Source organism: Homo sapiens, chromosome 10, assembly GCF_000001405.40.
Source record: "Homo sapiens chromosome 10, GRCh38.p14 Primary Assembly".
Classification (NCBI taxonomy): domain Eukaryota; kingdom Metazoa; phylum Chordata; class Mammalia; order Primates; family Hominidae; genus Homo; species Homo sapiens.
In genome coordinates this window covers 111,813,713-111,839,548 of record NC_000010.11, presented here as the reverse complement: position 1 = coordinate 111,839,548, position 25,836 = coordinate 111,813,713, and the positions used below count along the sequence as shown (strand labels likewise).

The 25,836-nt window shown below is 40.9% G+C and overlaps 1 annotated feature.

Annotated features, from left to right (window-relative positions):
• Window positions 1,190-1,691: an enhancer, noted in NCBI's record as "NANOG hESC enhancer chr10:113597616-113598117 (GRCh37/hg19 assembly coordinates)". NCBI's record gives its function as "activates a minimal SCP1, AML or CMV promoter by ChIP-STARR-seq in primed H9 embryonic stem cells {active_cell/tissue: H9 hESC(primed)}" and the evidence as "EXISTENCE:reporter gene assay evidence [ECO:0000049][PMID:30033119]".

Here is a 25,836-nt window from a genome sequence, read left to right as displayed (position 1 = left end):
TATACATGCCAGGATTTTGCTGGAAATGAGAGAATAATAAGCAAAGGCAAATACACACCCAACTCCTAGAGTTTGTTATAGTCCAGTCTAGTGGCAGAGAGACAAACATTATTCAAATAATTGCACTAATGAACGAAAACTCATTGTTATCCATACATTCATTCCAAAAACATTTAAGACGTACTCTTTGCTTGAGAGCTGGTGGCACCCAAAGGGGAAAATCTCATGGGCTCTGCCCTTGAGGAGCATTTGAGGAGCAGAAGAGCCTGGACATGAGCATCTGTAGAGCATCTCCTATGGATCAGAACCTGGACCGGGGGCCTCACAGGTGTTAGGCCATTGAATCTTAACTGCCCCGGAAGATAGATATAATTGGCCCCATTTTAAAGATGAGAAAATCAAGGCTCAGATTTTAGGTTATGTAAGCAGACAGGGAGGGTCTCTAGGAATTCAATCAACTTGAGCAACCAGCCTGCTTTACAGCTTCCTACCCTGCAGCCTATTTTTCTCAAACCCTAGGTTGAATGTGGTCACCATGTTGGTTGGGACCAGCTTTTGACAGGCCTTGGCAACTTACAGATGAACCTAGGTGAACTTTCCTCATTACCGTGCTCTCCACCCTGGGAGAAGCTATAACTTTATTGCCATAATATGTGACCTATGTGCTGGCATAATGACTCAGTGTATCTGTGCAATGGGACCCCTCCTCTACATGCAATGATGTACCCTCCCCACTCTCCATCACCCCATAAAACCCTTCTGTCACTTTCTCTCAGGGAGACATTGCTTCGGAGAATACTCCCAGTGTTTTCCTTACTTGTGCCAACTAAATAAAACTCCTATTCATCAAAACCTGAATTCTCATGGAGGTCATTTGTTAGTTGCCAGGTGAATGACCTTGTGTTTTGGGGGGCTACAGCCAGGATTTGAGTTGAGGTCTGTCCAACTCAAAGGCATGTGCACATCCAACCTGCAACGCACTTCTCTCCTTATGAAGAAATAAAAACATAAGTAGCTATAATATAGAATAGAACATAAAGACATTAAGTAGCTATAATGGAGATTAGTCACTATGTGCTGAGAATAATTTGGCTGCCATGTGATGGTAACATGTTAGTTGCCAGAGATGCAGCAAGTCACTGAAGGTTGCAGCACAGAGTTTTATTAATAAAGCCTCTGAACAAAGAGATGGAAGGAAACCTCAAATCCACCTCCCCGAAAACTTTGGAGCTAGAAGTTTTAAGAATTTTGGGTTGCACCAAGGTGTGGAGATCATTGGTTGGGTGAAGAGTGCAGGATGAAGTCAGGGGATGGGGATGTGGAGAACCTGCATTCTCACATGCTGATTTGGTTCCTCTTTGGGAGTCTTCAAACTGGTTGGTGTCATTCTTTCCACTGGAATTTACATCTGAAGAACATCCCAAGCAATTCTTAAGCAAAAGGCTTAGGATTCTAATGTCAGTGATCCTATCTGTAGGAACAATGGGTATGCAAATGGTCAGCGGCTAGTGCTAAGTGACAAAATTTTGATTACATGGAAGTAAGCCAAAGTGCAGCCTGATTAATACTTAATTGTAACTATATTTCTGCCCAGAGCCCTGCATGTAGTTCTTGTTAACCTTGTAAGGATGGTTTCAGTCATAGGAAGCCAAAAGTGGGAGGGTAGAAAGCACAGTGCTCCCAGAAATTTCTCCCACTCCAAGCTGGGCTATAGATATGGGAGAGGCCCCAGTGTACTCTGTCAATCTTTCTGATTCTTCTCTGTCCACGCTCGCCTGCAACATTTCCAGGCACAAGAAACTACATGGACAATATGCCCTTTCCATTGGTTTTATCCGGGCTTTAATGAGCTGAAATAAATCGAATCGTTAATGAGAAATGCAAAGCACAAATAGCACTTTATTGAAGAAAACAAGGAGGCAAATTTTACCATATGTCAGCAAGCTTAAAGGGAAGAGGCTGACTGTGGTTAATATGTACATTCCCCTCAAAGAGTCCCATAAAACTTCTTTGATTTGCAGAATTAAACTGTAGTTTGCATGTAAACAAGACCTTAATGTTTCATGGAAGATCCCCACATTTTAAAATAACAATCTTAAAAACAGAAACTAAACATCAGTGTCTACAAGTGCTGTGAATTATAATGTACGTATCTTTAAACATTAAAAACCACCTAGCTTTGTTAGAGCAAAATGCATCCATTAACATTGCTATTGAATATGCAAGACTGTGTCAAATCACAGATACTGTGTAGGAGGTGGTGTGAACCTGCTGCTTTTAGCACTTGGTCTACATTTATGTGCCAAAAATTAGTTACATGGAAATGTCTTTGTAGAAGTGGCAATGAGAATTGTTCCTGGGAAGACATGTTGAGCTATATGGAACTCAGAAAAAAAAATGACTTTAAAAATATTTTTCGTTGTTATAATTTACATACAATAAAATACACAAAGTCAGGCCTGTTTAGTTTGCATGTGACCAAACCTGCGAAAGCTTTAAGGCAAAGTAGCTTAAGCACCCAAATTGTGTTGCTTTGTGACCCTGAAATTTCTAGGGCTTTAGAGATAGCTGGATGTAGGGGCTCAGGCACTGTTGTCAGAGTAATGTCTTTCTGTTTCTCACCTCTGTGTTTTTTGTTGGTCTCAGCCATCCTGTTTCTAGTGTTCCCACACAATGCTGTGTTTATATTTTCTTGAGTTTAAGTCCAGACCATACCTCCTTTTTCTAACAGTTTCCAGTAACGTCAGAGGATTGCATATTTTTGGCTTGGATTGGTTCACATGCCTTTCTAAGAACTGATTGTTGCATCCGGGCATTTGGAGTACCCTGAATAGCTTCAGAAATGGATTTTGTAGCCATGCTTGGAGCTGGCAATAGAGTTATTCCATCCACACTATATTTTGGGGAAGAGGATAACTAGGGGGCTACCACCAGAAAAGGGAAATTCAACTGGGACAAGAAAATCACATGTCCACAAAAACTTGGAAGAAGGCTTTGATCTCTTCCTGTGTAAAATGGTAACATGACGATGATGATATTAACAACATAATTATTACTGCTTACGCACCAACTGTATTCCAAGTGCTCTACTAACATGCCTTGTCACAGCACCATAAGTTAGGGGTGATTATGCCCATCTTGCTAATGGTGAACTGGATGGTTGAAATGTAAATGAATTGCCAAAACTGCATAGCTAGCAAGAGAGGAAACCAGGATTTTAATTCAGGTCTATCTTAGGATCCCAGCTCTTTCCATTCTGTCTGTCCCTAAGGAAGCATTTCCTATTTCTGAGTTGATAGAAAAACCAGGATGTGTATGTATGCATATCTCTGTTAAAAATTGGGTGCATGCCTGTAGTCCCAGCTACTTGGGAGGCTAAGGCAGGAGAATTGCTTGAACCCGGGAGGCAAAGTTTGCACTGAGTTGAGATCACACCACTGCACTCCAGCCTGGGTAACAGAGTGAGACTATGTCTCAAAAAAAAAAAAAAAAAAAAAAAAAGAATTGGAGGTGGATGGATAAGAAGGCAAATTATAAAGGGGAAAGAGGATGTTTCTAGAGTGGTCTCCCCCAACTGGGTCAGTATGTCCCATCAGCAGCATGTTTTGCATCTCAGAAATAGCCCTGGCTCATTTGTGGCTGGGAGACCCTATTTGGGGGACTCTGAGGTTGGCAGGCAGTATTCCAACATCGCATATTTCTGTGGCTTTGTTTTTCTTGTAAAGTTCCCAACAGCTGCGGGACTTATTAAGCCTGAATCATGTTGCATATTCATCAGATGACTTGTTAATCATCTGCCAAGCCCCTCCGGAGAGCAGGAGTCCGGGAGCTCAAATGAAGAATAACAGACAGCGTGTCCTCACCCGCTCTCCTGAAACGCGTTATTGGCAATTACATAAAAGTTTCCAGGAAAGTAGGTTTAAAGCAGAGGGAGAGCTTGCTGCTCTTGGGCATAGTATGCCTTCCTTTTGATTGTCTATTTGTTTTCTTCCTTATCGCCACTACATAGGCAAAATAGGAATACTCTCCAGTTTATAGAAGGAAAAACTGAGGCCAAGAGTGTGGATAATAAAATCTTCTATGTAGGAAACATTAGAAAGACCTCTTGACCTTTCATTCAGCATCCTTAGTGGTAGGGTTCTTTCATCTGAGCTTTGCTGCCAGTAAAAGCTGTTCAGTAAAAGCACATGTGGTTCTCTAGGGTGCATGCCCTTTGTCTCTTTAGTTCACAACAAACCCCAAGTTCCTACAACAGTGCCTAGGCCATAGAAAAGATTTTTAAAAATGTGTTGCATGAATGAATCCAAGTTCTCCAGACACCAGATGGATATATTACCTACATGTAATACACAATGAACACAGTCTAGTCCCAGTTCATCATGACTACGAGGAGTGGTACCCTCCTCAAGCCCTCCCAAGGGTCTCCAGTGAATGCTGCTGGTTCCCACAAACCCAGTCTAATTGCATCCCCTCTCGTTCAAGGTGCTGCTTTAAGCTTCTCAGCAAGGATCACAATGACAGCGTCCACTGTGCTCTCCTTTCAGTCCCTGCCTTAATTCTCCCAAAGCACAGGTACTGCCAGGTTGAGGTGTTTCATAGCGTTTCCTTTTCTATGGAATGAGTGGGATGACAATAGAGCCTCATACACAGTAATTACTGGGAGTACATGAGATAATGCCTGTGAAATATCAGGCTACCACAGAGAAAGTATATAGGAAGAGTTGCTATTGTCATTATTGAGACATGCTGGTTAAGAGCACAGACTCCGGAGCCAGATTGTTGCGCTCAAATCCTGGCTCTGCTACTTAATAACCGTGATCTTGGGCAAGTTATTATACTTAACCTCCTTTCACCTCAGAACCTCATCTATAAAATGGGGGTAAAAATAGAATTTGCTTTATACAGCTGCTATGAGGTTTAAATGAATCAGTAGCTGTAAAGAAGTTAGAGAATTTCTTGACACATATAAGTGCCATGAAAGTGGCACCTACAGTGACAGCCAGGCAAACTCATCACCAGATTTGAAATGTTGCCGTTCCTGGAGTCCAGCGCTCCTGGGGTCCCTATTTTTCTTTTTTCCTCTTAGTTCTCACTCTGCCACCACTGGGAATGTATCACTCCTAAAACGTGTTAGACCTGAGATGTGTTTTGTCCACAGTAAAAATGGCCTGTTATACTGTTGATTGAAATTCTTTAAATCTTTGAAGCATCCTCATTTGGATTACTTCCTGGGGGGGGGCGGGGGGAATGGATGGACACACAAATAAAACCACCAAACTGGCTCATCTGTGAAGGATGGAGGAGAGGTTCTGCCCCAAGAAGAAACAAATTCCATCTTTCATCCAAAAGTGCAGAAACTGCTTGTGGCACCCAGAATATTTGTTCCAGGTTCAATAATTTTAAGATCCAGGATCTATTTTCAGTTACAGACAGGCAATTGCTGGTGACTGTAAAACAGAAGTTTGTCCTATTAGGGGCATTTTATAGCAGTGGTTCTTAAAGTGTGCTTTCTGGACCAGTAACATCAGTAGCACTTGGGAATTTGTTAGAAAAGAAAATTCTCAGGCACACTTAGCAATCATTCTAAGTGCATTCAGGTAAAGTCTCAACAATATGCACATCACCTTCAATAGAATTTACTATTAAGCTTCCAGAAATCAGAAACCCTCTTAGGACATGTGGCCGTTCTCGCTCCGTGTCTGTAATGTGTGTGGGGAGTGGGGTTCCAGGCAGGAAACCGTAACCGGGTCTGTAACGTGTGTGGGGAGTGGGGTTCCAGGCAGGAAACCGTAACCGGGTCTGTAACGTGTGTGGGGAGTGGGGTTCCAGGCAGGAAACCGTAACCGGGTCTGTAACGTGTGTGGGGAGTGGGGTTCCAGGCAGGAAACCGTAACCGGGTCTGTAATGTGTGTGGGGAGTGGGGTTCCAGGCAGGAAACTATAACAGGCATCTGATTTTTACTTCAGGGCCATAAACTTAGTGTCACCTACTTGTTCCCCTTAAATAAAACATCTCAGTGGCATAAGGACTAATCAGCCCATAAGCACACATAACTGTGGTATCTTGCATTTGTTGCCTTTTTTTTTTTTTAATTTGGAGGGAATGCTGCGATTCAACATGGCTGTCAGGGACTTGTTGTGGCTCTATAAATAGTAGCTAAGCCTGAATGTTCTTTTTCCATCTCAAAACTATAAGGGGTTAATTAATCCTCACTTCATGGAAATAATAAAAACAAGATGTTTGTGGACACGTCCTCACAATCCTCTCACTATGTATAATTAGCTCTGCAATCCCCAATTCTCCCACCTCAAGCTATCCTAATATTTGTATGTATGTAAGATTTTTATTTTTGCCAAGCCCCTCAAACAAGAAATATTTATTAACTATTCCTAAGGTGTTCTCTCTCTTCCTCTTTGTCTGTATATATTATCAATTCTGATTATGAATTCATCCAGAACTAAGTTTTAGCTCAATCCTTACATTTTTTTTAATCCAAAAAATTCATCAAAAATTAGGCTTTATGGGATGGACTAAAGCTTTTTTTTTTTTTTTTTTTTTTTTTTGCTTTTTAGTAAGTTTACTAAAAAAGCCTCCATTACTGTTATAGCATTTAAACTCAGCAATTGTGAGGCTTACTGAATCAGGGACCCCGAATGTAGGGCCTAGCAGTCTGTATTTTAGCAAGCTCTCCAGATGACCTGAATGCCTACTCAAGTCTGAGAGCAACTGTTTTACAGTAGTCTTGATGCAGAAAAGCCCAGATATCACTCAGTTCACACTTGCAGTCTGCTGTCCTGAATGCTGAGAGGCTTCTAAGGTTTCATGACTCCCTGTCACCCTCCTCCCACCCTGATATGTCCTCCTCCCTCTCTACTGGGCCTTACATCTGTCTTGTAGGACTCAGTTCAGAGTTAGCTTTTCCTAGAGTTCTTTCTTCCTGTGGGAAGCATAATAGACTAGTAGTTAAGTGAACAGCCTTCTTAGTCTGGGGTGGAAGTCTTGGCTCTGCAACTTAAATCCCAGGCCAATTGTTTTCCTCTCTGCACGTCAATTCCCTCATCTGTAAAATGGGCATAATAGTAGCTAGCCATTGACTCAGAGGGTTAATGAGTTATAGACAAGCACATTTGTGTAAAAATTGGAAGTAATATGGCAGCTGTGTATAAAATGAATAACCTACAGTGATCTCTGTAGTTTTTTACTCTAACTTGCCACAAAATATCCAATAAATCAGTCATTCTCACACTTTGCTACACATTAAAATCCCCTGGGTAGGTGTTAAGACTCTGATGTCCATGCTGGACCCTAATGGACAATTAAATCCAGATCTCCAGTGATATGGTTTGGATTTATGTCCCCGCCCAAATCTCATGTTGAATTGTAATCCCCAATGTTGGGGAAGGGGCATGATGGGAGGTGATTGGATCATGGGGGTGGACATCCCCCTTGCTATTCTCATGATAGTGAGTGAGTGCTCACAAGATCTGGTTGTTTAAAAGTGTGGAGCACCTCCTGCTTCACCCTCTTCCTCCTTCTCTGGCCATGTAAGATGTTCCTGCCTCCCCTTCACCTTCTGCTGTGATTTTGTTTCCTGAGGCCTCCCAGCTGTGCTTCCTGTACAGCCTGTGGAATCGTGAGCCAATTAAACCTCTTTTTTTTTTTTTTTAATACCCAGTTTCAGGTAGTTCTTTATAGCAATGCGAGAATGGACTAATACATCTGGGGTGCACTCAATGTTCTTAAAACCAAGTACTGCCAAGTTTGGGAACTATTGCTCTAGTCCCTTTCTAATCTCTCTGCATATGTGGTGAACCATGAAGTTTGGCAGTGAAACATCAGATGATGCTGTGGTATCAAAGAGCATCTTGTTTGTAAATGGTTTTGTGCACATGTGTCCTGCCCTGCCAGCCCAGCCAGAATGTAAGTGCCAAGAGAGCTGATCGCAGTTCAGGCCTTGTTGTTTTCCCCTTCCCCAAGCCCAGAAAGGTAGGTGGCTTGCATTCAGCAGCTGCTTGTTCATGATTAATTAATTGAAAGAGAAAATAGGCTTCAGCTGGTAGAAGGGGCGCTTAACAAGTCATTTCAAAGAGGTTTAAAGCTAAAAACAAAAGGTCTGGTGCCAGACCGCACTGGTTTGCAGCCATGATATAACACTCATTGTGTAACATTTGACAAGTTTCTTGACCTCTCTGTGCTTCAGTTTTCTCATCTGTAAAAGAGAATAATAAGACCTACCTCTTTGAGTTGCTATGACGATTAAATGCAATAACACATGCAAAGTACTTAACACAGTAGTTAGTACATCAGTACAGGTTTAAACATTACCTGCTACTCTTATCGTTATCCTGAAGGTTTGTTCTAACCTGCCTCAGTCTAGCTACAGGCCTGTATAACAAGCTTGTGTAATCATCCGATCTTTCCTTACTTTTCCGTTTCCTTGGCTGAGATCTATGACAGCAGAGTTGTTTTATCTCAAATTCTGCGATGCTTCAGCATATTTTTATTTATTTTTTGTTTTCTGGTGCTTAATAGAGTGCCTGACACACACTGGAACTCAATAAATGTTTGAAGGAAGTAATAAATAAATGAATGAGCTGCACTAAAATGAACTATGCTTTCACTCTTAGATACTACCCTTTAAGAGTCAGAGAAGGGAAAATGTCTGTTTCATAGATAATATAAATACAGACAAGATTCCCAGATGAGGAGAAAAACAGACACCCCCAGCCCTTTGTTGTTTAAATTATCACAGTATGCCTTATATAATTCCTGGCTCCAGCTTCACGGAAGCCTGACTTTCTGTTTCAGATCAATTTTTTCTGGCTGTTTATTTGTGTAAAGCCTCCCCATTTCAGTCTTTGCCCGGCCCCGTGTCATCCTCACTAATTCATTCAGTTATCAAAGCGACAATGCCTAATTATAAGCTACAGTGAATCAAGTCTAGAAAAGGACTCTGTCGACGGCCTCCCACTGCCTGATCAGTCTTAAGTCAGCTTGGGGCTCAGAGGCTCCCTGCTCCTTGGATGCACCAGCTCAGCTGCCCAGCCTGTGGCCACGTCGTAATGCACTTGTCTTAAAGACTCTCCAGGTTCTGCTAAGACTAATGTGTTTGTTCACCCTGAAAGGGAATATAAATCTTTTTGGGGTACATTTAATCAGGGGCTTGAGAAATCCACCTTGCATAGTCTGGAAATTGAGTAAATGGTTGGTGGCAGAATGCTAGGAAACAGTGGGTCATAGTGGTCTTAAGAGAAGAGGCTTTGAAGCCAGATATGCTTGGACTTGAATCCCAACTCCTCTCTTCCCACAGCTGTGTGACCTGGGGCAGGGCAACACAAAGTGTGGTTCGCAAACCACTGCTAGTCCACAAACTATGTGTTACCCATCAAGGAATCAAGGAGGAGAAAAGGAGCTTGTATCCGAATGTAAACCAGCCACATTACCAAACATCCTATTAGTTCAGCTGATGGTTTTTTGTTTTTTTTTTTCCTTCACGACAAGACTTTCTCAATGCAGAAAACAGTATATTGATTTACATTCTAATATAAATTTCTTATTCCCTGACTGACTGATAGCAGAGTTCACAGAAGAGCACTTTGGGTAGCACTAACCTAGGGCAAGTCACTTAATTGTTCTGAGACTTAGTTTCCTCTCCTGTAAAATAGGAATGAGATATGGCATGCTAAGTGCTTAGTATGATGTGAGGGACATAGCAAGTAATAAAGGAGAGCTAATATTAGCCTAGATAATCCTAATAGATCCATAAGATGTTAATATGCCTACAAAAGCAACATGCATTCAAGAAACAAAAGGTTTTATAGACACATAGTTTATTAAGCTGATTGTGCTCTAGGAGAAAGAAATTTATCCTACATGTATGCCTATGCCATGTTTCTGACTCTTTGGGATGAGAGATAATTTCTTTTTAAATTTCCAAAGCCATCAAACACTGTGCTCAATAAATATTTGGAGAGCCTGAAGGCAGATTTCACCTTGGAACTAGCTTTCCTGGCACTGGCAGACCCAAGACTGTTCTGGTATCTTTATTTCTCCTATTTTTATGCTCTGGCCTGCCTTTCTTGAGTTTGAGTGATTGTTTCTTCTGGATTCACCAACTTTAGCTGGCTTCAGGTACCCTCCTCCTAAACCTCCTATACCTTTTTTCTTGAGTCATTTTTAACAATCTGGCAGCAAGAACTCTTTCCTTTAGCCACAATTTCTCTGAACACCCAAGAGGGCTTTTGGCACTGTGACTCCAGCAAATGATTTTTTTAAGGGCCACCTGGAGTAAGGAGAAAGTTCTTTCTAGGCAGTCACAAGTCCTTGGGGGTGCAGAGACACAGGGTAAAGTGACCCCATGAAACCTCAGAAGGAACTTGGAAGATATGTGGATGTAGAACTGTGTTCTAAACCAGTAATTTTTAAGCATTTTCATTCTGCAACTTTCCATCATGTTTTTCCAATACAAAATTTTAGTATTTTTCTTTGAGTTAAATGATATTGCATTTGCTTTAGATTAAATCTATAATAATCGGGACTCTTGATTTAAGGTGACAGAACCTAAATCAAAGTAGTTTAAGCAAAAAAGATAATGTATTTGGTAGCCGCGGCTGGGAGGGATGATAGAAGATGCTAGCTTAAGGTGTGACTGAAGGTGAGGACCCAAACAATGCCTTCGGGGGTTCCTACCATTCAGCTTTGCTTTTCCTTATGCTTCTCTTTGCTTGTTGATTTTATTTTCTCTTCCTGCAAATATATTTTCTTCTAGTAGTTGTAACCTAGCTTCCAGCAGCTAGGTGAGATGCATGTTTATCTGGAATAAATATATAGTGGCCCTGGAGGTCACATCCTTGTAGCCTGCAATCCAGAGGACAGATAGCTTCTGTCTCTGAGCATCCAGTTTTAAAATCCCAGAGTGACCTGCCCATCCTGGATCAGGGTGGCGAGTGTTTTAGTCTATCCAGGCAGCTATAATAAAGTACCTTAGACTGGGTAACTTATAAATAATAGATATGTATTGCTCATAGTCTTGGAGGCTGGGAAGTCCAAGATCAAGGCACCAGCAGATTTGGTGTTCTGTGAGGGTCCATTCCTCATAGATGGCTCCTTCTCACTGCATTCTCATGTGATGGAAAGGGCAAATACGCTCCCCTGAGCCTCTTTTATAGGGACACGATTTCCATTCATGAGGGCTCTGCCTTCATGACCTAATCACCTCCTAAAGGCTCACCTCTTAATACTATTACATTGGGGATTGAGTTTCAAGGTATGAATTTTGAGAGGCCACAGACATTCAGATCGTAGCAGTAATTTTTAATGATCAACCAGGATTGAATCATGTACTCTCACCCGTCTTCCCTCTTCCCCTTATAGCCAGGATATTGGGGAATTGTGATTAAAGCCCCACTGGAACTACTAGGAGTTGGGAACGTGCAGCAACTCAAAGGAGACAAGAGACTGTTAGATATGAACGAGGGAAGAAGTGTTGGGCCTGTTAATGGAACAAATGTGCATTTCAGAATATTGCTGGGAGAGGGCAAAGCTTAACAGAAGGACTAATAATGGAACTTCGAACACAAATGTGGGAGCAAGTTCAGGGGGACAGGTCTTATTAAGGTCACTCAAATTACTCAGTATGGGTAACACCTTGTCTAAGAAATTGATGAGCCTTGCTTATTAAAACTACGACCTCACCTCAATCTAAAAGAAAAGGCACATTTCCCACATTTTCAACAGAAGCATGCATTTTCTCATCCCTAACTTGTCACTGTGGATGAATTCATCTCTCGTCTCTCTCTGGTATCTCTCTTAAAACGTCATCACATAATACATGTTTAATGAATATTAGTTATTTCTGTCATTTTGACTTAGGTTATTACAGTATAATCTCATTAAATATTTATTATAACCTTATATTTTAATGGCCTCTATTTTCACATAAGGAAACTGAAGCTCAGAGACTTTGTGAGTTGCTGAAGACCACACCTCCAATAACTAATGGGGCTGTTACTACCCAAGTTTGTCTGACTCTAAAGCCCAAGCTCTTGCCTTTACATAACTAATTCAATTTCTGATAGTTGGGAGATGAGACAAGAAAAGTGTCTTTCTTGACCCAACTCCAGTTCCAGCTCCATAGCAGTAATTCATACCACCCTGGCCTTTAGGCACTATCTTATTATGAAGCATTCATTATACAAGAACCTCTTATTTAATTTTTAAGACTGTTGAGCAGAGGATGCTGTCTTGACGTCCCAGTCCAATAACATACAACAAAATCTTTCCACAGACATTTTTTGCATGAATACAGATGCTGTATCCTGTTTAATTTGAAAGGCAGACACAAGATTGGGCTAGTTTTCAGCAGTTCCATTTGGCCCTTTATCGGTAGCTTTTTGTTAAGAATAATCTCCTCCTGGGTTGTGGATAATTTCAGCATTACTGAAGCTCCAGGTTATCTCATTTTTGTAGTTGCTAGTTGCCTGTGCTTGTTCATTTCCTACCACCTGCCACGATGTTCATTTTCATTTTGTATGTGTCAACAGCTTGAGAGCCTTGAAAGATGTACCAAGATTTTTAAAGAAAAAAACATATATCAAATTCCCTTTGGTTAAGGCAGTGACAGTGATTTTTTTTCCCCCTACTTACTTGAATCTTAAATCCTCACTGATTTGCATCTAGGTTTGGAAATGGATTAATACTTGGAAGAGAAGGCAGATTGTTTGCTTAAAACCCTTTGGGTCAGAGATTTCAAAGGGAGGCAGGAGTCCCTGTCCTATGTCTCTTCTTTGGACCTTTCTGATTCTCCTTTCTCCTTCCTGACTCCTCTTCTAGTCTTCTTCCCTGGCTCTCCACTGGTCTCTGTCACTTCTCAGATTGCTCTGTGTTCCATTGGGATGTTCCAGCTGTAAGAGACAGATTAAAATGTAAGGACATTTGTCTCACAAATCTGACTTGGGGACAAGAAGTCCCCACATGGGTCCGTTCCAAGCTAGTTAATCCAGCAACTCAGGTGATTCGATTCACTTCTTGTCTTGCTCTCCTGGCTTGGTTCTTATGCTTATCCTCTTCTTATTGCTTTCATCAGTAACTTTCATCTTTTCATTTTGCTTTTCTGTTTTCATGCTTCATCAGGAAGTCCCAGGTGTCGTGGGACTACTGGAGTTCCAGGTATTATGGAGTCCCTGGAATCATGAACCACTAGAGTTCCAGGTATCATGACCAGGTATCACATCATACAAGCTGGCTAACAGAGACAGACACTGCTGTGCCCCTCACCTCTTTTCAACCACGAGAGACACTGTCCCAGAAGTCCCTACCCCTTACTTCTCAATGGGCAGAGTTACATCCCAGGCCCATGCCTAAACCTTGCAGGGGATATGGAATAACCTTCACAACTTTAGACTAACAGAACTTACATCCTATGGCTGGAAAGAAGGCCCACCCTGAATACCTAACCATGTGGAGTGTAAAAATAAACAGAAATCCAAGTTCTATCACTGAAAGAAGGTAGTGGGGATAGACTGGTAATGTCTGCCTCAGTGTCTCTTAGGCAGACTCCTAGTTGTGGCTGATGGCCTTTGCTATGACTAGTAGGGCAGCAAATCCCAATTATTCATCTTTAGACCAGATTTCTTTACAGATTCAAATAAGACACTCCATCTAGTTGCTTGGCTATTCCACTTTGATATATGGATCTTCCTTTTAGATGAATGATATTCCTCCAGTGATATAGCACTTAGACATCCCAGAAGCTCTTTTCTGGAAAATATCACATACCTTTTTTATCAACCTCCTTTCTTTCTAGGACTGTATCCAGACTTCAGGAACCCTCACAAGAGGTTAACTGAATTATAAGTATCACAGCAATGAATCTCATTCTCTGGGGCCTGTCATGGGCATCTTTTAGAGGTCATTATTTTTGTGTTATGCCGTATGTGAGCAGAACTTCTCACTGAAAGAGCTGGGAAATACACGATTTCTTGCTTTGCATGTTATTTTGTGGCAGTAAAAATGACCATGCAAGCCGAAACCACAAACAATGATCTTAATAATCAATAGGAAAATGTATGATTGTTCTGTGACCTTTAAAGATTTTCATCAAAACATTAAAAACTATCTTACTGTCACTTTTAAATGTATAGGGAAATGCAAAAAAAAGTGACATTAATATTTAGTTACTACAGTGTTATTCAAAATATTAGAAACATTGATAATGTGAAAAGTTTATTTCTTATAAAAAAGCGATGAAGAGTAATTTGAACAGTTCTTGTCTTCTTGTCATTGTGTAAGTTACAATACACGTGAACATATTTTCTGTACCCTGGTAAATTACCATACTGTTTGCTAAGTTTGGATTACCTTCCAGCATTTTATTCTTTACACTTATAATGTCACAAAGTAGCTCCAAGAGTTCTTTTAATGTGAAGTTTTTTGAGGATGCTAATTTCTCTAGGAAAATTTTTTCTCCTTTTCGCCACAAGCACTTTCCTCATTGACGTCTAAAGTTTACCTTCACTAAGTTCCGCTGGCTGGGTATCCAGAGTCCCTTGAATAGCGCAATCAGCTAAAATGCTCCATTTGCATTGGATTTCAATTTCACTTCCAGCATTTTCATTTTTCACTTCTTTGTGGCGCTCTCCTTTTTTTGGCCAACTCCTTCTTTTGATTATTCATTTTTATAAAATGTCCTATGGGTTTTATCACCAGGAGACAAGAAGGTAACACAACTACATGCTTTGCTGGCTTTATGTGAAATAAATAAGAGATGGGCAGTGAGCAATCCCCAACAGGCTTTGAAAGACATAACTCGACTGGTCTCAGAACATGGGGTGGATCTATTATTTACATAGTGATTTGGGGACCGAAGACCTGGCAGTGAGGTTTGTACTTTATTCAAATACTGACAGTTAATATACTGTGTTAACTGAAATTGAACTGTGTTGTTGAAGGACTGCTGCTTTTGAAGTAAACGGTGGTAACTGAAATCTGTGTGTATCAGAATAGTATAAAGTGAAGGCTACCCGCATTTGTAATTCAGGACATATCCACTCGGCTCTAGACTTTGGAGATACTCCAGGCCAGCCCCTCACTTCCAGCTGGCTATGAAGTAGGCAAAGCACAGAGGTTCACCAAGGGCTTATCCCTGGATGTTTGCCTGTCCCTGGCTTTGGGAGAGAATGCACCTTTAGCCTTGAGTCTACAGCAGGCATGGACTGAAAGCAGCTGCTCATTAGGGAGGTGATATGCAACGTGATGCTGTGAGAGGCAGCCCCACCATAGGCCAGTGACGGCCCATGTGTCAGCCAAAGGCAGTAAAGTAAACTAATACATAGACTGCATGTTTTTCTCTCTCTCGTTTATTTCTAGTCCTTTCATAAAAATGAAAATTCCTTCATTTCTAGTGTTTCAGCCTTCAGGATCTGATATAATTCAGTCTAATAAATGGAGTGCTGGGAGAAGGCTTGGCAGCTCTGGTGCTGTATTGCTAGATGGCCTCCTACAGAATTCCAACCTCTGTTTGCTTGCACTGTTTCCTCCTCTGGCTTTCAGCCCTCTCTCTGCCTCAGGTATGTTGCAGTCCCCTTGAATATCCTCAAGAGTGAACTCTTTCTTGACTTTCAAGGGGTTTGAAATAATAAGAAAAGTTTTGGACTTGATTTGGAGCTCACTAAGATACCACTTTTTTTTTTAATAGAGAACATGTGCATCTTCTGTATTTCCGGTGTTTCCTTAATTATATGTTTCCTTTTACATGATGAATAATTCTATTAGTTTATGGAAAGAGCACAGATTTTGGAATAGATAGGGCTGAGTTGGATCCAGCCTTGGCCACTAATTATACTTTGGACAGTTCATGTCATTTCATTGAACCTCTACTTTTCTTATTATAAAATGGTACATTAGTTAGGTTTAAATAGTTATACATGTAAAGTGTTTAGCCTTGGACCTGGCCTAGTCTAAGAATTCAATATGGGGTGGCTACTATCATTAGCTATCTTACAAGCTGATACGTGGATCAAATATGCTGATGTATATAAAACATTTCATGTAGTAATTGGGACATCAGAGATGCTCAAAATGTTATTACCTTTATCGCCTTTTTACTTTAGCTTTCAGTAAGCATGCAACCAAACCTATTGCTTAGTTGTAATGATTGATCAATTTCAAATTTTTGGTATAGCTAATTCTCTGCTCTATTTAACTTCCTTTTATGTGTGTATGGTTTTGTTATTTTGGATATGCTTCAAGATTAGAAATCCACTCAAATCATTTGTAAATGCAGATAGGAATACAAAAAAAAGTGAAAACATAATATTTCCATTTCAGTTCCAGTAATATGCAAAATTATCTGCCATCCTTTGTTCTGGCCTGATAACCTGTTCTGATATGCAGCACCATTCTTTAGCTTGTGGGAAGCTTCATGTTGGAAATAGTTCAATTTGTCCTGCAGGTATTTTGTGGCTACCATATAGTTGGCACAATATTACGAGTTTTTTACCATGATGTTTTATTTTTCAACACACTACAGACAGCCTGAACAAGTACTGGTATAATTCAAAGTAGCAGAAAGAATGCTCTGTATTCGCCAAACCCCATTTCATTTATTCTTCCTGGGCACACAACAAGACTATCTTTCCTTTGTGGTTAGGTTGAAGTTATGACTGAGTTCAGGCCAATCACACGTGAGTGGAAATAATGTATTCTCCTTCCAGTCCTGGCCATAAAACCTTCCAGGCCTGGCCATAAAACCTTCCAGAAAATGGATGACACTCTGTTCTCATTTCCCAGTGACTTCTAAGGCCATTATTTTTTAAATGTCAGGAGAATAATATGAAGCAGTCTGGATCCAAGTTACCACTTGGAGAAAAGCCACTACAGAGATCTGCATCAGATTATGTATGGTATGAGTAAGAAATCAATCTCTGTTTGGGCAAGTTTCTATGATATTAGGGCTTATTTGTTACTACAGCATAGAGTATTCTTGCTGACTAAAACACTTCGCCTTGTAACTCATGGGACATTCATGGTGATAAAAATGATACTGTGCTCGTGTTAGTGCAGTGTAAATTGTATATCAAAGCAGTGTGTGGATGTTATCATGTTGATATTTGTGGAAAGCTCATAGGTTTGGAAGTCAAGAGACCAAGCTCTTGCACGAATGTCAAATGCTTACCTCACTCTTATCTGCAGCTCTGTCATCTGTAAAATAACAGTCCTAATCCTTGTCATGACTACTTCTCACAGTTGTTACAAGATGCAAATGAAATCATAGATGCATAGGAACTTGGTAAACTATAAAGTTCTGTCAAGTAGAAAGCACTGTAATTATTTCTCTGGAGTTTCAAACCTCTCCCAGGAATACCCTTTCCGCATAGAAGAGGGATGCCTCACTGCAGCCCCAAAGTGTTACTGTTTTCTAGAAATGTCAGCACAGACTTTTGTTCAGCAAAGCATGAGCTCAAATGGCCTGAATGCAACCCAGAACACTTGGCAGGCATTTTCTGCCTGGAACAGTTGCTGAAAGCTGAAAATAAAGGCGCCTATGATTCTAAACATGGAATGTCTGGAGAGGAGAGAAAAAGAAACTTGCACAGTTTCAATCTCTCCTGAAGATGAGGGTGGAAGATGGGGAGGGTGGTGTGTGGTCCATATCTGGTACAGGAGAGGGAGAGAGGTCAGACTTCACCCTAGGAAGGACAGCTCACAGACCTCAGAAAGGCCAGGGCACAGTTGTAGGCAACATACTCAGCTGCCTACAGCGTGTGTTTTTAGGAACAGGAAGGACCCCAGTTTCTGATCTACTCCATAGCTGAACTCCAAAACTCCCTGGGTAAATCTTTCTTTTGAGCCAAGGAGTCTTGTTTCCTGTCTAAAACCAACCAACAGACAATTTCATGGGAGCCTTTGTGTCAAAAGTTAATATTGTCCTAAGGAGACTTTGAGGAAATGAAGAAACTGAAATGCTTTTTTTTTTTTTGGCACAGTGGGGACATGGGAAGTGATTCGCATATGAGAACTGAGAGGACAAAGTCAACCAACAGGCCCTTAAACCCAACTTCCTACATGGGGGCTCTGCTGCAAGGGAAGCCAGGTCCTTCAAGCCACAATACCATATTTAGAGATCTTGCCATGTGCCAGGCACTCTTCTAAGTGCTTCACAAGCATTAGCTTATTTATCAGTCATCAAAAACGCTATGAAGTAGGTACTGTCGTCATCCACATTTACAAATGGGGAAACTGAGGCCCAGAGAAGTTAAGCTCTAAAGTGCCAGAGCCAGGATTCAAACCCAGGGCGCAGAATCCATAGTCCATGTCTACACACTAAATTCTGTTTTAGCTTTTCCAGAAAAGGCATTGGAATATGCTTGTTACCCTCAGAGGTCCCAGTAGTCTTCAACACCATGAAATTCTTTGACTCGAGCTCATTAGATGAGAGTCCACCAATCAAAAAAACAAGAAAGCCATTTCTTGATGCATTTATGTTGTGCAGATATGTGATTATGGCTGACAGAAATAAAATGTAGATTATCCTTGCCAATTCCTTGCCACTGGAAACAGAGGGGTTTTTGAAGCATTTCAAATGGGTCCATCAGCGCCCCCAGTGCCCATAGCATGGGAAGCCAGCCCTGAGTGAACTCATTACCTATCAATTGGTCGTTGGTTAAAATACATAAATAAAAAGAAAACCCTTCTGGAGTTTTGCTTGTAGTTTGGGGTGCTAAGATTCATTAGCATATCTCACAAAAATGCATGTTTTCAGCATATGTTTATTGCTCATCACAATGCTTATACGCATGTCATTAATTACCAGTTGCCTTTAGGCATTTACTTGAAGACAGTCAAGTACTATGTAATCAAGTAGAGCTAACAAAGTACTTTTGTGAGGAATCTGGAAAAAGGAAAGTGGGAGGTTAGCAATTAGTATTTGTCTTTGTCTTTTCTCGCTGGCTGGCTGCTCATCTTATAATGTAGCGAGTATTACACAGCTGGGTGTCAGTGAGTCCTCTCTCTAGACTCAGTGTTTCCATCTTCCAAATGGACATTTTTCTACTGTCTTCCCTTTCTACTACAATGTCAGTGTTTAAAAGTGCAGTCCACAGACCACCTGCATCCAGTTTATCTGGGGAGCTTTCTTAAAGTAAGGGTTCTTTTAAACAAATTAACAGGAAAAAAAACAAACAATCCCATCAAAAAGTACACTAAGGACATGAATAGACAATTCTCATTTTTTTTTTTTAAGAAATGTCTTTTTCACAATGAAATCAGCAATATTTATTGTTTTTCCTGGTTATGTAAATAATACATGCTCACTGTGGGAAAAAAAAGCAGGATGGTTTGAATAAATGGTTTTTGTCAATGGAAAAATTAAAGAACCACCTTTATAATAATTATGCATTTCTCTTTTTAAAGTGTGTCTTCATCCAGAGTCCTGGTTTTTAAGCATTGCGTGTGTATAGACAAATATATATGCACACACACATACATAGAATCATATGAACTGCTGCAGGCATTTATGGATAAGTGTCAGATGACTTAGAATGGTTTGGAGACTATTCTGAACTGGCTAGAACTTTGAGTTAAAAAGAATAATTAACTTGACCAAATAGGAAGGGAGCGTCATTTCAGGTGTTTTCACATGTTTTCTTGTTTAGTCCTTTTAACATTTAATTTTTATAGCATTAATACAAGATAAGTATCATTATATTCATTTTTTTTAATTTTTTTTTATTATACTTTAAGTTTTAGGGTACATGTGCACATTGTGCAGGTTAGTTACATATGTATACATGTGCCATGCTGGTGCGCTGCACCCACTAACTCGTCATCTAGCATTAGGTATATCTCCCAATGCTATCCCTCCCCCCCTCCCCCCAACCCACAACAGTCCCCAGAGTGTGATATTCCCCTCCCTGTGTCCATGTGATCTCATTGTTCAATCCCCACCTATGAGTGAGAATATGCGGTGTTTGGTTTCTTGTTCTTGCGATAGTTTACTGAGAATGATGATTTCCAATTTCATCCATGTCCCTACAAAGGACATGAACTCATCATTTTTTATGGCTGCATAGTATTCCATGGTGTATATGTGCCACATTTTCTTAATCCAGTCTATCATTGTTGGACATTTGGGTTGGTTCCAAGTCTTTGCTATTGTGAATAATGCCGCAATAAACATACGTGTGCATGTGTCTTTATAGCAGCATGATTTATAGTCCTTTGGGTATATACCCAGTAATGGGATGGCTGGGTCAAATGGTATATCCAGTTCTAGATCCCTGAGGAATCACCACACTGACTTCCACAATGTTTGAACTAGTTTACAGTCCTACCAACAGTGTAAAAGTGTTCCTATTTCTCCACATCCTCTCCAGCACCTGTTGTTTCCTGACTTTATAATGATTGCCATTCTAACTGGTGTGAGATGGTATCTCATTGTGGTTTTGATTTGCATTTCTCTGATGGCCAGTGATGATGAGCATTTTTTCATGTGTTTTTTGGCTGCATAAATGTCTTCTTTTGAGAAGTGTCTGTTCATGTCCTTTGCCCACTTTTTGATGGGGTTGTTTGTTTTTTTCTTGTAAATTTGTTTGAGTTCATTGTAGATTCTGGATATTAGCCCTTTGTCAGATGAGTAGGTTGCAAAAATTTTCTCCCATTGTGTAGGTTGCCTGTTCACTCTGATGGTAGTTTCTTTTGCTGTGCAGAAGCTCTTTAGTTGAATTAGATCCCATTTGTCATTTTGGCTTTTGTTGCCATTGCTTTTTGTGTTTTAGACATGAAGTCCTTGCCCATGCCTATGTCCTGAATGGTAATGCCTAGGTTTTCTTCTAGGGTTTTTATGGTTTTAGGTCTAACGTTTAAGTCTTTAATCCATCTTGAATTGATTTTTGTATAAGGTGTAAGGAAAGGATCCAGTTTCAGCTTTCTACATATGGCTAGCCAGTTTTCCCAGCACCATTTATTAAATAGGGAATCCTTTCCCCATTGCTTGTTTTTCTCAGGTTTCTCAAAGATCAGATAGTTGTAGATACGCGACGTTATTTCTGAGGGCTCTGTTCTGTTCCATTGATCTATATCTCTGTTTTGGTACCAGTACCATGCTGTTTTGGTTACTGTAGCCTTGTAGTATAGTTTGAAGTCAGGTAGTGTGATGTCTCCAGCTTTGTTTTTTTGGCTTAGGATTGACTTGGCAATGTGGGCTCTTTTTTGGTTCCATATGAACTTTAAAGTAGTTTTTTCCAATTCTGTGAAGAAAGTCATTGGTAGCTTGCTGGGGATGGCATTGAATCTGTAAATTACCTTGGGCAGTATGGCCATTTTCACGATATTGATTCTTCCTACCCATGAGCATGGAATGTTCTTCCATTTGTTTGTATCCTCTTTTATTTCCTTGAGCAGTGGTTTGTAGTTCTCCTTGAAGAGGTCCTTCACATCCCTTGTAAGTTGGATTCCTAGGTATTTTATTCTCTTTGAAGCAATTGTGAATGGGAGTTCACTCATGATTTGGCTCTCTGTTTGTCTGTTGTTGGTGTTTAGGAATGCTTGTGATTTTTGTACATTGATTTTGTATCCTGAGACTTTGCTGAAGTTGCTTATCAGCTTAAGGAGATTTTGGGCTGAGACGATGGGGTTTTCTAGATATACAATCATGTCGTCTGCAAACAGGGACAATTTGACTTCCTCTTTTCCTAATTGAATACCTTTTATTTCCTTCTCCTGCCTAATTGCCCTGGCCAGAACTTCCAACACTATGTTGAATAGGAGTGGTGAGAGAGGGCATCCCTGTCTTGTGCCAGTTTTCAAAGGGAATGCTTCCAGTTTTTGCCCATTCAGTATGATATTGGCTGTGGGTTTGTCATAGATAGCTCTTATTATTTTGAAATAAGTCCCATCAATACCTAATTTATTGAGAGTTTTTAGCATGAAGGGTTGTTGAATTTTGTCAAAGGCTTTTTCTGCATCTATTGAGATAATCATGTGGTTTTTGTCTTTGGCTCTGTTTATATGCTGGATTACATTTATTGATTTGTGTATATTGCACCAGCCTTGCATCCCAGGGATGAAGCCCACTTGATCATGGTGGATAAGCTTTTTGATGTGCTGCTGGATTCGTTTTGCCAGTATTTTATTGAGGATTTTTGCATCAATGTTCATCAAGGATATTGGTCTAAAATTCTCTTTTTTGGTTGTGTCTCTGCCAGGCTTTGGTATCAGAATGATGCTGGCCTCATAAAATGAGTTAGGGAAGATTCCCTCTTTTTCTATTGATTGGAATAGTTTCAGAAGGAATGGTGCCAGTTCCTCCTTGTACCTCTGGTAGAATTCGGCTGTGAATCCATCTGGTCCTGGACTCTTTTTGGTTGGTAAGCTATTGATTATTGCCACAATTTCAGATCCTGTTATTGGTCTATTCAGAGATTCAGCTTCTTCCTGGTTTAGTCTTGGGAGAGTGTATGTGTCGAGGAATTTATCCATTTCTTCTAGATTTTCTAGTTTATTTGCGTAGAGGTTTTTGTAGTATTCTCTGATGGTAGTTTGTATTTCTGTAGGATCGGTGGTGATATCCCCTTTATCATTTTTTATTGCGTCTATTTGATTCTTCTCTCTTTTTTTCTGTATTAGTCTTGCTAGCGGACTATCAATTTTGTTGATTCTTTCAAAAAACCAGCTCCTGGATTCATTAATTTTTTGAAGGGTTTTTTGTGTCTCTATTTCCTTCAGTTCTGCTCTGATTTTAGTTATTTCTTGCCTTCTGCTAGCTTTTGAATGTGTTTGCTCTTGCTTTTCTAGTTCTTTTAATTGTGATGTTAGTGTGTCAATTTTGGATCTTTCCTGCTTTCTCGTGTGGGCATTTAGTGCTATAAATTTCCCTCTACACACTGCTTTGAATGTGTCCCAGAGATTCTGTTCTGTTGTGTCTTTGTTCTCGTTGGTTTCAAAGAACATCTTTATTTCTGCCTTCATTTCGTTATGTACCCAGTAGTCATTCAGGAGCAGGTTGTTCAGTTTCCATGTAGTTGAGCGATTTTGAGTGAGATTCTTAATCCTGAGTTCTAGTTTGATTGCACTGTGGTCTGAGAGATTGTTATAATTTCTGTTCTTTTACATTTGCTGAGGAGAGCTTTACTTCCCAGTATGTGGTCAATTTTGGAATAGGTGTGGTGTGGTGCTGAAAAAAATGTATATTCTGTTGATTTTGGGTGGAGAGTTCTGTAGATGTCTATTAGGTCTGCTTGGTGCAGACCTGAGTTCAATTTCTGGGTATCCTTGTTGACTTTCTGTCTCGTTGATCTGTCTAATGTTGACAGTGGGGTGTTAAAGTCTCCCATTATTAATGTGTGGGAGTCTAAGTCTCTTTGTAGGTCACTCAGGACTTGCTTTATGAATCTTGGTACTCCTGTATTGGGTGCATATATATTTAGGATAGTTAGCTCTTCTTGTTGAATTGATCCCTTTACTATTATGTAATGGCCTTCTTTGTCTCTTTTGATCTTTGTTGGTTTAAAGTCTGTTTTATCAGAGACTAGGATTGCAACCCCTGCCTTTTTTTGTTTTCCATTTGCTTGGTAGATCTTCCTCCATCCTTTTATTTTGAGCCTATGTGTGTCTCTGCACGTGAGATGGGTTTCCTGAATACAGCACACTGATGGGTCTTGACTCTTTATCCAATTTGCCAGTCTGTGTCTTTTAATTGGAGCATTTAGTCCATTTACATTTAAAGTTAATATTGTTATGTGTGAATTTGATCCTGTTATTATGATATTAGCTGGTTATTTTGCTCGTTAGTTGATGCAGTTTCTTCCTAGTCTTGATGGTCTTTACATTTTGGCATGATTTTGCAGCGGCTGGTACCGGTTGTTCCTTTCCATGTTTAGCACTTCCTTCAGGAGCTCTTTTAGGGCAGGCCTAGTGGTAACAAAATCTCTCAGCATTTGCTTGTCTGTAAAGTATTTTATTTCTCCTTCACTTATGAAGCTTAGTTTGGCTGGATATGAAATTCTGGGTTGAAAATGCTTTTCTTTAAGAATGTTGAATATTGGCCCCCACTCTCTTCTGGCTTGTAGGGTTTCTGCCGAGAGATCTGCTGTTAGTCTGATGGGCTTCCCTTTGAGGGTAACCTGACCTTTCTCTCTGGCTGCCCTTAACATTTTTTCCTTCATTTCAACTTTGGTAAATCTGACAATTATGTGTCTTGGAGTTGCTCTTCTCGAGGAGTATCTTTGTGGCGTTCTCTGTATTTCCTGAATCTGAACATTGGCCTGCCTTGCTAGATTGGGGAAGTTCTCCTGGATAATATCCTGCAGAGTGTTTTCCAACTTGGTTCCATTCTCCCCATCACTTTCAGGTACACCAATCAGACGTAGATTTGGTCTTTTCACATAGTCCCATATTTCTTGGAGGCTTTGCTCATTTCTTTTTATTCTTTTTTCTCTAAACTTCCCTTCTCGCTTCATTTCATTCATTTCATCTTCCATCGCTGATACCCTTTCTTCCAGTTGATCGCATCAGCTCCTGAGGCTTCTGCATTCTTCACGTAGTTCTCGAGCCTTGGTTTTCAGCTCCATCAGCTCCTTTAAGCACTTCTCTGTATTGGTTATTCTAGTTATACATTCTTCTAAATTTTTTTCAAAGTTTTCAACTTCTTTGCCTTTGGTTTGAATGTCCTCCCGTAGCTCAGAGTAATTTGATCGTCTGAAGCCTTCTTCTCTCAGCTCGTCAAAGTCATTCTCCGTCCAGCTTTGTTCCATTGCTGGTGAGGAACTGCGTTCCTTTGGAGGAGGAGAGGCGCTCTGCTTTTTAGAGTTTCCAGTTTTTCTGTTCTGTTTTTTCCCCATCTTTGTGGTTTTATCTACTTTTGGTCTTTGATGATGGTGATGTACAGATGGGTTTTTGGTATGGATGTCCTTTCTGTTTGTTAGTTTTCCTTCTAACAGACAGGACCCTCAGCTGCAGGTCTGTTGGAATACCCTGCCGTGTGAGGTGTCAGTGTGCCCCTGCTGGGGGGTGCCTCCCAGTTAGGCTGCTCGGGGGTCAGGGGTCAGGGACCCACTTGAGGAGGCAGTCTGCCCGTTCTCAGATCTCCAGCTATGTTCTGGGAGAACCACTGCTCTCTTCCAAGCTGTCAGACAGGGACATTTAAGTCTGCAGAGGTTACTGCTGTCTTTTTGTTTGTCTGTGCCCTGCCCCCAGAGGTGGAGCCTACAGAGGCAGGCAGGCCTCCTTGAGCTGTGGTGGGCTCCACCCTGTTCGAGCTTCCTGGCTGCTTTGTTTACCTAAGCAAGCCTGGGCAATGGCGGGCGCCCCTCCCCCAGCCTCGCTGCCGCCTAGCAGTTTGATCTCAGACTGCTGTGCTAGCAATCAGTGAGACTCCGTGGGCGTAGGACCCTCCAAGCCAGGTGCGGGATATAATCTCGTGGTGCGCCGTTTTTTAAGCCCGTCAGAAAAGCGCAGTATTCAGGTGGGAGTGACCCGATTTTCCAGGTGCGTCCATCACCCCTTTCTTTGACTCAGAAAGGGAACTCCCTGACCCCTTGCGCTTCCCGAGTGAGGCAATGCCTTGCCCTGCTTCGGCTCGCACACGGTGCACACACCCACTGACCTGCGCCCACTGTCTGGCACTCCCTAGTGAGATGAACCCGGTACCTCAGATGGAAATGCAGAAATCACCGTCTTCTGCGTCGCTCACGCTGGGAGCTGTAGACCGGAGCTGTTCCTATTCGTCCATCTTGGCTCCTCCCTCCTACACACACACATATATGTTGGAATACTACTCAGCCATAAAAAGGAATGAATCAATAGCATTCCTAGCAACCGGATTGAATTGGAGACTTATTC